Source organism: Homo sapiens, chromosome 3, assembly GCF_000001405.40.
Source record: "Homo sapiens chromosome 3, GRCh38.p14 Primary Assembly".
Taxonomy (NCBI): Eukaryota; Metazoa; Chordata; class Mammalia; order Primates; family Hominidae; genus Homo; species Homo sapiens.
The window spans coordinates 124,196,707-124,212,477 of record NC_000003.12 but is presented as its reverse complement, the minus strand read 5'-3'; the positions used below and the strand labels follow the sequence as shown (position 1 = coordinate 124,212,477).

The following is a 15,771-nucleotide window of genomic DNA, read 5'->3' as shown; positions in this document are numbered from 1 at the left end:
AATACAAATCAGCCATTACAATTTGTATTTCTGAGTAATTTTTAATTTCATGGAAGAATGCTCGCAACATGTAAAGTAGAAATTAGGATACTAATGATACACACACTATATAGGTTAGGCTAAATCATATCAGATTGCTGAGACTCAACTTTTTTTTTTTTAACCTTCTGAAATAGTGATTTGATGTGATCCCAAATATGGACATAATGTATTTCTGGGGTGTGAGATTATGGGGATATTTCATTTTTTTTTTACACTTTTCTATAGTTTTCAAACTTTCTACAACAAATATGTATTAAAATCAATGTTGTAAAAGTATATAAAGACCATGTGAAAAAAATATCCCAAACTTAAAACTGTATGAATCCACTTCTCTGGTTTCTCTTTTCTAGATTTTTATAATCCTCTGCCGCTTTGGTCTCTTAAATGCCCATGCCTTGCCTCATTTTTGTCTGTTATTCTATTTATTTGCATGTTCTGAATTTGCTGTTTGAGGTTAATCCCCAGAATAAGAAAGAGAACTCTAGAAAGGCTCTGACCTCAGCTGTCAATCCCTCTTCCTCCAGGAAGCCTTCCCAAAAAGGCACAAGAGTCATGCAGTTTCTATCCCCAGAGATGGCCCTATGCTTTTCAGTCAATAGAGGTACCACAGAAGGGGAAGCAAGTAGCCTCCTCTCCACTTGTGTTGCCACCACTCCTCTAAAATCGAGAGGCAGAAGAGAGCCCCGAGAAGCACTGGGAAAGGACATGTCACCAAGAGGTATGAGTCCTCATCATGCAGCGATGAAGACTCCAACAAACATCCAACTAGAATATAAAGCACAATGAGACACTAGGCTGGGGTAACTGGGATTACTTCTCACCAGTGTGCTGTTGGAGGGAGGCTGCTGCTGCCCTCTCCTAAGCCCATGGGCCTGTACCTTTTACCTGTGAGCCCACCATAGGGCCACTGAATTCACTGATACAATTAATGTGTAGAGCTAATAAGATCCCCAATGAACATTCTGTTTCTTTTCTACAGGCTATGGACATATTTCTGTATTTGTTCACATATTGTACTATAAAATGATTCATATTACTATTTCAATTTTGAGTCATTTTTCTTATAGCAATAAAGTTATCTCTTGCTTTAAAATGCCCTAATCAACATCTGGAAGGTTCATCAATGTCCACCTCAAAAAAGTGTAACTTAGCATCACTATTCCTTAGTTTTTCCATCTGCAAAATGTAAGTAACATCTCATAAGGCTATTATGAGAATTAGCTGAGACTATGTGTGTGCCTTGTGACTGGTAGATGTCCAGTAAGTGCTAGGTGATGGAGTGAATGAATCAATGAAGTGTCTGAACTGTGTGATTGATTTGCCACTGGGCTCAGCTGTACAAACCTGGGAACAGCCAAACTGCAGAAACCATTCACAATTCAAGACACAATTATCCACATGCTGTCAGCTCCTGAAATTGTAGACATAATAACTTAGAGGAAATGTGCTGCCTCCAGAGAGCATGCTTTGCAAATTCAGACTACAGCAAAGGTGAGAACATTATAGTTCCCACAGGAAAAAAAATTATTCCCTTCAACTCTAAAATTTTAGAATTCTGCGTTTGTGCAAATGGAAGCAGTAGTCAAAATCTATTAATTTCCAGCTTTGTGGCTGTAGGATTAAAATCTTTCCATCAAAATCTATATGTAAATTTGGAAGCATTCACCATCCAACTGGGGCCCAGGCATCTACAGAGCAACTGAGTCATGGTTGTGGGATTGTTCCATGCCAATAACATTGCTGATGGGGGAAAGAACACTGGACTAGGAATCCGAAGACCTCAGTTCCCTTTGTGTTTTTTTCTTCTTTCTCCCCTTTCTGGCCTCCATTTTCAAAACCAGTAAAATAAACGAGCCAGATAAGATGACGGCTGAGGTTGTCACTTCCCCAGCTGTTCCATTGCCTAAATCTGCTTTGCTGTAGAAGAGATAATGGCCTGCAAAAAGTTGAAGAAAGGAGCATCCCAGAGGAGAAATGAGAACCTTAGGGATAAGAACCATGCTGGGGAAATACCATATTTAGTGAATTGCAAAATGTATCATTAGTTTATGTGCCATTAAAAAAGAAAAAACTGCTGCCAATTAAACTATTACACACCATAAGCTATAAGATGCATCCTGATTTCAGAGATGGCAAAATGTAGAAGGAAAAAGAGCATCTTAGAATCAATAAATATGGGAACTAGTATTTACTGAGTATTTGTTATATTCTAGGCACTGAGCTAAGTGCTTTATACATATTATTTCATTTAACTCTAAAACAACCCTGTGAAATAAATGCAAGTATAGGAAAGACTAGCATTTTATAGAGGAAAAACTGAGATACAGAGAGCGTTTACATAATCTGCTTAAGGTCATTTAACTAGTACAGAGAAGAGGTAAGATTTGAACCTACAACTCTTTCACTCCAAACTCCATCTTCTTAACCCTTTACTCTCTGAAGAAACACTGGAGCATCTGATACCAAATGAAAATGAGTTATTTCATGGTGGTAAGACTGAAACATTAAAACTGTCAGAACATATTAAAGGAACTTATTAGGATGAAATACTTTGAACTAAAGGGAACCCTGGAGATGATGTAATACAAGCATATACTTTATAGACAAGGAAACTGAAGCCCAGAGGGATGATGTGATTTGCCCAAGGTGGCATAGCCAGTTAGTGCAAAAGTTAAGATTCTAGAATTTTGCTAGGTCATGAGATCAAGTTTGCAAGTCTAGAATTTTCAGATTCTATTCATTCCTTTCTTTTCAAGTTCTAGGCATTTTCCTATCTCTACCCTATAATTTCTTAGTGGTTTCTCTAAAACCACATAGGCAAATTCCTTTAGCATTTCAGGATACAGTTCCTTCAGGCCTGAGATGCAGAGCTACTCTCAGAGAGGTCAGGGTGGGTGGACACAACAGTTAGACATGGATTTTTTTTTTTTTTTTTTTTTTTTTGAGACAGAGTGAGTCTTGCTCTGTTGCCCAGGCTAGAGTGCAGTGGCGAGATCTCGGCTTCAAGCAATTCTCATGCCTCAGCCTCCCCAGTCCCACTAGCTGGGATCATAGGCACACACCACCACCACCCAGCTGATTTTTTGTATTTTTAATAGAGATGGGGTTTTGCCATGTTGCCCAGGCTGGTCTCTAACTCCTGAGCTCAGACAATCTGCCCACCTTGGCCTCCCAAAGTGCTGGGATTACAGGTGTGAGCCACTGCACCTGGCCCAGACATGAGTTCTAATCTCTCTAGTTCTGAGAACCCAGCATGCTTAATTTCTCAGTTCCTTGTGGACTCATAAGTAAAATAAGGCTAATAACACCAAACTCATAGAGAGACAATGTACATAAAGTCCCTATAAATAATCAATTGCAGCTATTATAGCCATGACTGTTGAAGGAGTTTAGGGCTTTTACTATCCCCTTATTTTTCTTAACTATTGGTTATGATGATGATGATGATGATTATTATTATTATTATTATTGAGACAGAGTCTCACTCTGTCACCCAGGCTGGAGTGCACTGATGTGATCATGGCTCACTGCAGCCTTGATCTCCTGGTCTCAAGCAATCCTCCCACATCAACCTCCCGAGTAGCTGGTACTACAGGCATGTACCACCACACCCAACTAATTTTTTAAATTTTTTATAGAGATGGGACCTCCCTATGTTGCCCAGATTGGTTTTGAATTCCTGCATTCAAGTGATCATCCTGCTACAGCCTCCCAAAGTGCTTAGATTACATGCATGAGCCACTGTACCTGGCTGGCTCTTGGTTCTATATGAATTAATCTATTTTGCATTTTCTAATCTGAAGTGCATTTTCTTGGCTGGAGACAGTGGAAGCAGGAGAACAGGGCTTCTTCATCTCCCTCTGTAACAGACCATCTTCCCCAAGCAGAGAGCTAAAACCCTGCTCTATCACAACTGTTCACAAGCTCACTTTAATTGCTAGGTTTAGTTGAGCTATCTGCCCTTCCTTTAACTTTGTTATATACAAAAAAGTATATACAAGCTCTTTAAAAATCAAGATTCTTGAAGAAGTCCCTTTCCTTTCATAATTCATCCTGCTTGTCTTAAAGGGAAGGCCAATCTCTTTCCAAGGCATGGGCAGCCCTCCAGACTTACAGCATTTGAAGCTCAAGGTCAAAGCAATTTATGTTCAACCTTCCAGCCATTAGAGGCTGAGTGCCAGTACAGGAAAAGCCCCTTCCTACCATTTTAGGGACCTTTGTGCTTCTAGTTACATATGTGCGTGTTAGAAGACAATGTGTAATAATAACGCTGCAGGCTGCCAGGAGAAAGCGCAGGTCCTCAAGCGGTGAGGTGGAAAGTACCAAAGAAGCTGCATGGCCAGGATGTGGGCTGACTTAGTAGTTCTACTTTCCATTTTAAGGACACTGAACTGGGGGGGAAAGCGTGTACCCAGTCTCACTGTTAACAATGTCTGTGGAAAGCCCAGCTGGTAAAGCCAGCAGGCAGACCAAGTTACCCCTGCCCCACTGGTGATCACTTACCTCACAGAACACAATCAAGCATCACATGAGCCCACTTTTCAGCTCCTGCCTTCCCAAGGCCTGCTTACTGTTGTTTTGTTCTTGCTGCTTTCGTGGGACTTTGTGGTAGATGCTTGCTACCATTTATTAAGGGTTACTTCCTAAGTGCAGGCTCCTAAGTGCTTTGCATATCTATATTGCTTAATTCTCTCAATTACCCTAAGGGGTACATATTGTTTCCCACATTTTATGGATGAAAAACTGAGGATCAGAGAAAGCAAATAATGCACCCAAGGTCATAGAGCTAGGAAAGGATAAAGTCAGGATTTGAATATGGGTCTATCCTATTCCAAAGCCTGTGCATGAAGCCTCATACATATAGATCTGTCTCATCTAGCTCCCAAGTCACCCTGGATAGGACATATCCAGAACTTCAATCTCTTTAGGGTTAGGACATAGCCATGTTTGGTGCAGCCTCAAACACGCTGTTTGATGTGCCTGGGATGAATCCCCAGCCCCCGAGTTTCGGGACAGTTACAAGACAGAGAGTTACAGGACAGAGGTTTCTACCTCAGTTTCCTGCTGAGCCCTATAATTAGCAACTTACAGCTAGCACTGTGCTCTGAAACCCCACCTGTCTATTTAGGGCCTTGCCCATCCCTTGCCATACCCCTTTCCTGGCAGGGGAAGGAGGGAAGGATGTCTATGTGCCGCTAGTCACTGCCTGGGGGCCTGCCAGGAATGGAGTGATGGCCCAGTAATGTGGAACCACAGACTAGCCTGATCCCGAATGTCTCCCCCAACTTGCAAACTCTGGTGACTCTCCCTTGCAGGACTCCTCACCTTGGATGATGATGCTGACCTGAGGGAAACTTCTTGTTTGTTGTGATGTTCCAGTGGATCCCATGTATTTCACTGCTGCTGCTTGCCTCTTCCAGCTAGCCCAATAGTCCCTTCACTCTCAGCCAGACATTCTACCAACCCCTTGGAAAGTGCCAACGCCAATGTTCTGAGGTGGGAAATCAGTCTTCTTCATGTAGGCAAGTGACAAAAACAATCCACAGAAGACTGTCTGAGGCATTTTAGACAATAATAAGTGACTAAATGGAAATGAAGAGTCCCATGAAATTCCCCATCCCATTGACTGTTAATGATGTGGTAATTATAAACACAACAGCAAATATTATTACCAATTTCAAGTGTTGACTAAAACCAGCTGGTACACTCAGCAAAGCACTCTAGTCCTGGAAAGTCCTGGAAACTCATGTAATGCTATAAGTCTAACTTAGATGAAATCTTAGTCTAACTGTGGGAATGAAGCTGTATTTCTCAACATGCAACACTACCCAGAAAACCCTATGCAATAAGCACAAGAAGTCGTCTCTGGTGACCTGGACTGACCTATATCCATAGTGGTGACTATTTCCACCAATCCATATAAGGTTGGTACAGAGATTGGCCAGATGCTTACCAAGCTCATTCTCTCTTCTGAAGCACACGACTGTTACATTTCCCAACCGCCCTTGCAGTTAGGAACAGTTGTATGACTGAGCTCTGGTCAATGGAAGGTGAGCAGAAGTATCATATGCCACTTCCAGGACTGGCTCATAAAATCATCCCACATGTATGTCCTCCACATTCTCTCTTCTCATCTATCCTCGGATGGCTGGGTGCAAAGTGTTCAGTGGAGGACTCTGAGGCCCTATGAGCAAAGCTACTGAATAGAAAGGGTAAGTCCTGGGTTGTCATCAACCAGGAACATCTGTAGGAGACTATGACAAGAGCAAGAAATAATCTTCTATTACGTGATCTCTGATACTTACTGGTTATTACAGCCATCAACCTATGCTGACCAATAAGCAGGGAACACTCTCTTATTAATATCAGGGTGGCAAACTGTGGAGACTGAAGAAATTGCTTTCTATCTCTACCTCAAAATCTTATGTCAGGTGTTAATGTATTTTATAAAGAATACACATGGTTTCTTTAAAAGCAACAAGAATATGTCAGTGATCTAGGTACAAAAACGGCAGGAGAACTCAAAGAGAAACAGAATAATGAGCACAGGGGAGGGGAAAACTTGGAAGAATTTAGATACCAGCTGCCAGGGATTTGACAGGTCCTCCATTCTTCTCCCTAAGAGTTCCTCCACTCTCACACCTCTTACAAACACACGTGAAAGTATCAGGTAAATTTTAGAGAGCGATATGAACATAAGGTACTATACTGTTATTGTTCTGATTCCCAAATCTAAATATTTGACCTTGTTTTTCAACCAGTTGCATCTCCAACCTCCAGTAGGTGTTTCCATTAAATGGTACCCAAAGTTCAAAACTCTCCCGCTATCTTCTACTCTGTGTCTCTAGCATTTCAGGGAGGGGAAGAATCATTTGCTTCATACCATATGCCAGGCCCATTATAGTAACTGCCTCATTAAATCCTCTCATATTATTTCATGAGATAGATATTATTGTCTGCATTTCATAGATGTGAAAACTGAGGCTCATAGAAGTCAAATGATTTGCCCAAGGTCACACGACTGTCAAGTAGGAGCTGCGAGAGCGATTTTCATTTGTGTAAAATATCACACCTGATTGGAGTGCTCCCTAAAACAGTTATCTACACCTGGTGGTGTGCTAGAGCCTGCTTGTTCTGGTTTCTGAGAACTAATTGTAATTTTCAGAATTTTTGCCAGCTCGTTGTTAAACAGGTTGGTAGCTTGAAATCTGCTATGATAGGAGTATTTACACAATAGAAATCAGCAAATGTTACAAACACCACAACCAGGGCTTTTATTCTTCCCTGGAAACATTGCCAGCACGTCACTGACTATGCCTTCCTATTTGGACCAGTATGGCAAGGCAACACTATGTCCTGACGCTGTTTTGTTGGAATTTCAGGACCAATAATAAGGAAATAATTCCTGGATTGCAGACTTTGCAAACAAAAACTTGAAACAGTAAAAGCAAATGTTACAAAGACACAAGGGAATGAGGAAGAAGTATGTCTCCCTTAACACAGCTCAACCTTCTGACAGTTCCATGAGGAGTTCTCCTAATAAGCTGATAAGAAATAATTTGGAAAGAAAATACTAGTTTTAGGTGGGGAGGCAGTTAAATTCTGGAGCAGTGCGGAGGACAGCTTTGGAAAGAAAGACCTTAGAGATTTAGTTTTTAAACTAAGAGATGGGGGAGGCATCACAGGTCCCTTGAGGTAAATTCTAAAACAGGGATTATTTTAAAAAAAGAAAAACGTGCAGTTAGCACATTAATGCAGCAGCACAGATAATCCAAAGCTGAAGATAAAATCACATGATGAATTCCAAAGCCAAAGATAAATGACTGGAATTTTTTTCTTTGATCTACACAACATTTAACTTCTTGAATCAAAGTGCATCTTAATTAGATGAGTATGCACCAATCCAATATCTGGAGAAAGGAGCATAGAAGCTTATGGAGTGGTTACAGGCAGTAAGCCTGCATTCATTTCTTTTTCTTTTAAAGTAAACACTCCACATGTGGAGAATAATCCCCATGTGAAAAATAAAGAAATTAGTGTTTTAATTTGTAGCCCACAGCAGTTTGTTCCTAAACCTGGCTGATCATCCCATTTGGTTTAGAAGATTTTTAAAAGTAGAAAATTTGGTATCTACATTTATATTTAGATTCAATGAGTCTAAAGAATTGTGTTTGCCAGAGCTGAACAGACTCATAAAAGCATAATGAACAGACTCATAAAAGCATAAGAGCAAAACAATAATTGTGGCAATTAAAGGGTCCTATGAAGAAACCTATGTAAGGTTGACTGGCCAGAGAACAGAAAAATACTTAGAACAGAGATCTACAGGGGATTCCCATTTTTGAAGAGGTTGCAATTACAGTGGCCCTTCAGTATACACAGAAGTTTGGTTCCAGGACCTCCGCGTATACCAAAACCCAAGAATACATACTCATGTCCTGCAGTTGAGGACCCTATGGAACTCACATATTTGAAAAGACAGCCCTCCATATACAAGAGCTTCACATCCTGCAAATATTGTATTTTCAATTTGCATTTGGTTGAAAAAATCCATGTATAAGTGGACCCACGCAATTCAAACCCGTGTTGCTCACATAGATCTAGCAGGACTCTGAGTGTAAGGTAGAAAGGCTAATTGCCATTTGTTAGCTACCTTTGGAGGGCAATTACTTAATGTCTCTGAGTCTCAGAATCCTCAACTGTAAAATGGGAAGACTCCTGAATTGGTAGGTTACTGGAAGACAGAAAGCACCTATCACAATTCCTGGCATAGAGGAGGTCAGTGTTAGTTATTGCCCTATTATTATTATTTTTCTTTATCACTCGGCTTTGGGAACATTATTCCAAGCAATACGTATAAAGCCATGGAAGCTGCTGCCTGGGTCCCTCCAACCTCTCTCTTCCAGCAGCAGCCCATGGCAGGCTCCAGCAGTCCCCTGAGGACAATAGAAGATGCTAATCACAGCACCAGTAGTCAGAAAACAAGATATCAGCTTTAGCCTGGCTCTGCCCTCAACTCACTACATGACCTGAAACCCAGCCTCCTGGTTCCCTTGGTCTTAATTTCCATCCCCACCAAATGGGCACAATCAAATAGAACCTGTCTTGGTCAGAAGTGCTAATGAAGAGCCCAGGAGAATGGGTTAATGAGAAGGCTGACTCTCAGCTCAGGGATAACGAGCCAGACTATCACTGTCCCTGGGAGCTTTCCCTCCCTGGTCAGGGAGAATGTTGGCACCCCAAACTGCTGCACTGAGTTTCAGCTAATTGGAAGCTTGATGACCGATGACACCAGGTTTCTGGGAAACAAATGATCTCTCTATCCTCAAAGTTCTGCAGTGAGGAGGAAGGAGGAGTGGGAACTTCCCCAGAGTACTGCAACCAAGGTTCCTGGGGGCAGCACATAAAACATTAATGGAACTTGAGCAACCACCAGAACTGTCAGGGAGGAAAGGAAACAAGAAAGCTGCGAGTGGAGAGTGCTGACGGCCCAGCCTGCCAGCTGGCACGACACACTGCAAATGAGATGCAGACAGCCAGAAGGGCAGCAGGATAGCCTCAGAGGACCACAGCAGCATTGAGAGCTCCAGAGACTCTAGAAGATTCTCAGGAATTAAGGGAATCACATTTTGTACTCTCCAGAGGGGAAGAGGTGTGTCTTGAAGAAAAGGTGATGAAGCAAAAGTATGGTGGAAGGGCCCCCATTGTATCTGTTGTAAGAAATAATCACAGAAGGGACAAGCAAATACCACAAATGGAGCAGGCAGGCTGGAAGGGTGGATAGAGAGCCCCACAGAAGGTGAAGGAAAAGAGACCAGGAGGAGGAGGAGGAGGGAGGGTTCAAAGAAAATTAGGTTACCCGACTTCTCATTAAAAAACTAGGGTAGGCTGCACGGTGGCTCAAACCTGTAATCCCAGCACTTTGGGAGGCCTAGCCAGGCAGATCACTTGAGCCCATGAGTTTGAGACCAGCCTGGGCAATGTGGTGAAACACCCATTTCTACAAAGAATACAAAAATTAGCTGGGCATGGTGGCACGCACCTATAGTCCCAGCTACTTGGGAGGGTGAGGTGGGAAAATCGCTTGAGCCTGGGAGGTTGAGGCTGCAGTGACCTGTGATCGCACCACTGCAATCCAGCCTTGGTGACACAGTGAGACCCAGTCTCAAAAAAACAAAACAAACAAAAAAACTAAAGTGAAGTGGCTGCCACTTCTCTACACAAAGAGGGAACTTTCCAGATCTTCATGCTGATGTTTTTCCTAATGTAAAATTTCCAAATCACTTCCATGTAGATGAAACATGCCAAGCACATAAAATTTCATACTTGCAACCTGAGCTAGCTCTGAAGCTGCTGTGCTTTCCCCTGCAAGTGAAGGGAGGTAGGAGACAGGAAGAAGTGGGACTGATTAGATGTGACAAGAAGTGCTTCCCACTCCGCCCCAGCATCTGGCCCAGCCTGGCCCCATCACAGGGCTCCAGCTGGCCCCAGACTGCTGAGTGCATGAGCCTCGTTTTCAGCAGCTGCTGGTCAGGGCTCCAAGGGCCAAACCTAGCTAGAGACATAGATGTGGCCCAAGTAAAAGCCACTTCTCCCCCAAGACAGGAACCACTCCCTTAGCTGCATTTATAGACTTAATTTATAAGTCCTCAAAAGTTAAACATTCTCAAAAAGCAAACACTCCCAGGTCTATCACTTGTTTATGCTCAGTGTCCTCCATTAGATTAGGAGCACCCAGGGGGAGGTCTACACATCTGCCTTCCCACAAGGAGCTCTAGGAGGATGGAGATCACATCCATCAACCTGTACAGACCACAGCATAGCCACCATACACCAAGACTTTATAAATGTTTTTTGACGAGAACAGCATTTTAAATCCTTTTTTTTTCCAAAGGATTCTATTTCAGGAAGGGAAAATTTCTGAATACTAGTGATGTTTTCTTATTTCCTAAAAAAGAAAACACACACAAAGCTCCAGTCCTCCAGGGGAAGTGCCAAGACACTGGAGTGACCAGGAGCTAAGCCAGATGGAGTCAAGGACAGCCATTGTTCCTCCTGCAAGGAAGGGATGGCCTGCACCATGCAGCATCTCCACCAGCTTCTGAGCCCAAGTTCAGCCGGGACTTCCCAGACTTCAGAATCCTACATTAGGATTTGGCAGAGAGTCACGGAAAGCTCTACCATAATGGCTTAAACAAGTAAGGTGCTTATTTGTCTTAAGTAAGAGGTTGGACCTGGCATTCCAGAGCTGCCTCAATGGTGGCTGTTGTCTTATACGTGGCCTTTGTCTCTTGGTCACAAGATGGCTGCAGAATCTCCTGGCATCATATCCCCATTCTAGGGAGGAAGGAGGGTGAAAAGCAAATAGCTTTTTCTTTGGATGGCTTTACCTTTATTTAGGAAGAGAAGATCACCCATTGGCTTGTGCCTGTATATCAATAGTCAAAATTGTGTCACATCTTCCTTAGTGCCAAGGGAAGCTGGGAAGTTAAGTATTTCACTCTCTATCCTTGATAATAAAGGAAGGAAAGAGGTTTTTGGAATAGATATTAAGTACACTAACCTGCATTATCTATGCCATACATACGGATTCACAAATCAAAAGGACACTTACACCACCCTCCCAAGAGGGATGGTGTAGGGTGGCTCTTAATTTCTGCTCTCTCAATGTGAAAAGCTGTGAAAAAAATATACCCCAGACTTAGAAAAGCCTCTCAGGCTCCCAGATGTAACCCCTCCCATGTAACATGCTGAGTCACTTTTGCATGCATTCTCTCATGCATTGTTCACCACAATTCTCTAAGGCATGAACTACAGAATGAAAGTTTCTGTCCCCCTGCCCCAAATTTATATGTTGAAATTCTAAGTACGACGTGATGGTATTTAAAGATAGGCCTTTGGGAGATAATTAGGTCCTAAGGGCAAAGCCCTCATGAATGGGACTAGTGTTCTTTAAAAAAGACCCCAGAGAGCCCATTTGCCCCTGCTGCCATGACACACAGAAGGCATTATTCATGAGGAACATGCCCTCGCCAGACACTGAATCTGCAGGCACCTTGATCCTGGATTTCCCAGCCTTCAGAACTATGAGAAATAAAGGTTTGTTGTTTGTAAGCCACCCAGTTTATGGTATTTTGTTATAACAGCCCAAATGAACTAAGACAGCAGAGACGATTTATTCCACATTTATAAGTTGAGGGAGAGGCTCAGAAAGAAGTTACTTACCAAATATTCCACGGCTTACTAGTGGTAGCACCAGGTTAGGAACCCAGTTTTCTACTGTCAACCCAGTACTTTTTTCATTACACCACTGACCATCTTCTCACACTGCATACCTGAGTTTTGCAGCCACTGCTGCAGCCACCCACCTTCCTGTTTATGATGCTAGTTTCCCATTTCAAAATTTAGACATATGCAGAAGAGGATCGGTCATGGGGAATCTGGCAAATACCAGAGAAGGTTGAAAAACCTTTTCAGGAACCTCTTACTCTTGCCAAAAGAACATGCATCTTGGTAGGATGCTCTATCAAAACTCACCCACAAGAGGTACTAAAAAACCAAATCCAATAATAGATGATGCCTTCCAGTGGCCATCTTGTCTATCTTGCCTCACTCCACCCACCTCAAACAGCTGAAACAGATCTTGACATTCTCTAAAGCTTCTACAATTACCCATCTGATGTGTGTTGCTGTACAGGCTCATATTGCTCAGGCTAGCCACATACCCCTCCAATGGAGCACTTAGATCGCTGCATGGTAATTGCCCGGCCACTGTTCTGACTTCTGCACAAGATCCTTTACTCTTTAAGAAAAAAGGATTGCATCTAATTCAGTATTATTTTCTCAGCATTTAGCATGGTGATTGGCATATGTAACTTCTTAATAAAAATTATTTGAATAAATGAATGCAAAACATCAATCCTTCTTGTTACATTTCTTTTTTCCCTCTCCAGAGTATAAAAGGAAACTAGCTTGTCACTCTCCTGTGGGTGCCCAATTTAGGACTCCACAGATCCCAGGGAGGACAAAATGTGGGCTGTTCAACACAAATCCAGAAACTCTTTAGGATGCAAGAGTCCAAGGAGCCAGAGGTCTAAGGCATTGGGAAAGATCTTTCTGCATTTCTGGGGTGGTGTGGAGTGTGTGAGAAGTTGAGGAGAATGGGCTCTGGAGCCCTGGCAGGGAGAATTCTTGGTGCAAATAAAGCAGAGGAAAGGGAAATGGGAAGAAGCCTAGACTGGAAGCAGCAAGAGTGAATGTCAGGCATGCACTGCAGTATCAATGCTCCAACCTGTGTCTCCCACTCAGGAACTCAGTTCAGCAGTGAAACAGGCAGCCTGGCCTCGGCTTCAAAGTCTCCCTATCTCTAGCCTTTCAGGCCTTTCCTTAGCCTCCTTAGGTCTGCAGCATGCCTTACTTTGATCCCTGGTACCTGTCCCATCCTTGCTCCTGACTCTCTCCTAGCACTGACCGATCACACAATCTGGGCCTCTGGCTTCCTGGTACTTCCAGATTCTGGCTGAGGCCCCATGATCCATTCCCAGCCTCTGCTCTGGATCCCTCATTCCTGCCCAGTATAGTCCGCAGCCACTGTTGATGGAAGAAAACAATGCAGGAGCCAAAGGAGCTTCTAGAGCAGCGATTCCTAACCTCTCTAGAGTCAGTGACCCCTTTCAGAATCTGATGAAAGCCACAGACTTTTGTCTTCGTAAATTGCATGTATACATACATGCACAAAATTTCCATGCAATTATAGGAGCTGAATGGACCTCCAAAAAAGCTCACTCATGAACCCAGAATAAGAACTCCTTATCAAGAGGATGTCATGAACTTTTGTTTGAGGGATGTTGCCCTCCCTGGGAGAAGCCCCTGGTAGCTCAGCCAGGCAGCTCCCAGCTTATCCTCCCCTCAGGGAAGCATTTGCAACAGTGAGAACACAAATTGTCTCTTTGAGCCCTCCCACCTCAGAAGCCTTTAATGAAAACAATATTGAGCACTTACTGTGCGGCAAGCTGTGGAAAGGCAAAGGACTTGACACGCATTTTCTGGAAATCTAATACAATAAACTTAAGTTGCTATTATCCCAATTTCAGATGAGAAAAATCAGGCTTAAAGAAGTTAAGAAACTTGACTGTGTTGCACAAATCATGAGTTATGGAGTGCAGAATCAAACCCAGTGTTGTCCAAGGTCCATGTCTGCTTTTCTCAGCACCACACTCCAGAGACTTCCCAAGGTTAGATGACCTCTAGGAGTAAGCAAGGGAAAGTTCCTCTTGCCATCCAAAATCTACCCTTCTTTCCCCATTTAGCACGAAGCTTTTAATTCCTCGATCAGAAATCTAGCTAAAAAGAGAAGTAATACCTCATTGTTATATGTCTGTCTCTCTGGGTCTGTATAAATGTGGTATTGTTTTTTAAAAATCATACAGTGCCTGGAGAATTGCATATGGGTCCAGAGAATGAATCCATGGAAGTCATTTGAATCACTAAGTGTGCACCATAAGAGAGCTGTGGGTAGCATTCTGGTGGAAACCATCGGAGAGCAGCTGAAGGTGGGGACAGAAAAGAACATGCAGGGGGCATGTTTGGAGATATGACGAGGACAATTACCTGGCAGATAGAAGGAACATTTCTAGATGAACTGCATTGCAAGAAAAACAGATAGGAAGGCTCCTGATAAATCCCTCCCTATGCACAGCAGTATAGGGTCTGTGGTCAGGGCAGAGGACAAGCCCTGCCTGTCACGTCCCTGCTAAAGGGCTGGAGCAAGTGGCAGCCCCTTGGAAACAGCATTAGAATGGTCTATCTTTACAAGATGTCCACAAGAGACACTGAGGTTGGGCTGGAGGGTGAACCAGGCAGAGAACGTGTGGGAAAGTTCTTGCCCACAACCGGAAAAGTGTTCTAGCTAGAAGGATCAAGGCTGAGGATGAAGGCAAGATGTGGTTTGGTAGAATCTGGGATCTACGAGACAAGATAAAATGAAAACAGGATAAACTAAGAAGAAGGAGAAGACTGTGTTCTGGGTGTTTGTTTATAAGTAGCACACAAGGCTTGCTTCCAGAGGCCAGAAGCAAGGGCTTGATTAGCAAGAGGGCTGCTCTTGAATAATGCACCTGCAGAAAGTAAGCATCTTCTCCCCAGCATCATGGATGTTCAGGAAACCAAATAAAAACTTACAATATAGAATACAGAGACAAAGTTTAACATGCTAGGAGTCTGGAGTTACCATGTTATTCAAAGACAGAATTATATAAGGCAAATCTAGTCAAGAAAATCATTATGGATGTATGCAAAGGGTAAACGACAGGGTTTGCAATCTTTTTAAATGAAAAAAAAATCCAAAATGTCCAACACTAAGAGAGTAGTGAAATAAATGATGGTAGCATAGCATAATTGTTGGGTGTGTAGGGTCTGAAATCAGAATGCTTAGGTTAAATCCCAACTCTACCACTCAAGAATTGTGTGACTTTTAGAAAATTACTTAAATTATTTAAGCCTCCATTTCCTCATCTGTAAATGAGCATAATGATAGCACCTGCCTCCTAGTATTATTACTTAGTACAGGGCTTGATATATTCCTAGATAACTGTAGAACAAGAAATCACTCAATAAACATTCGCTATTAGTAGTACTGCCATTATCAAGATGCAGCCATAAGACAGAATACTATTGTGTCATTAAAAGTAATTTCCAGAAATGTAACAACATTGAAAGATGTTCATGAAC

General features: G+C 42.6%; 1 protein-coding gene across 32 annotated transcripts in view, besides 1 other annotated feature; it reads right to left on the bottom strand.

The window, feature by feature from the left end:
- KALRN (kalirin RhoGEF kinase) overlaps positions 1 to 15,771 on the bottom strand; it is a 692,957-nt gene that overhangs the window by 513,848 nt on the left and 163,338 nt on the right. The gene's annotated exons all lie outside the window — the stretch shown is intronic.
- Positions 4,536 to 4,585: an enhancer, noted in NCBI's record as "active region_20395". NCBI's record gives its function as "activates an Ori minimal core promoter by ATAC-STARR-seq in GM12878 lymphoblastoid cells {active_cell/tissue: GM12878}" and the evidence as "EXISTENCE:reporter gene assay evidence [ECO:0000049][PMID:35858748]".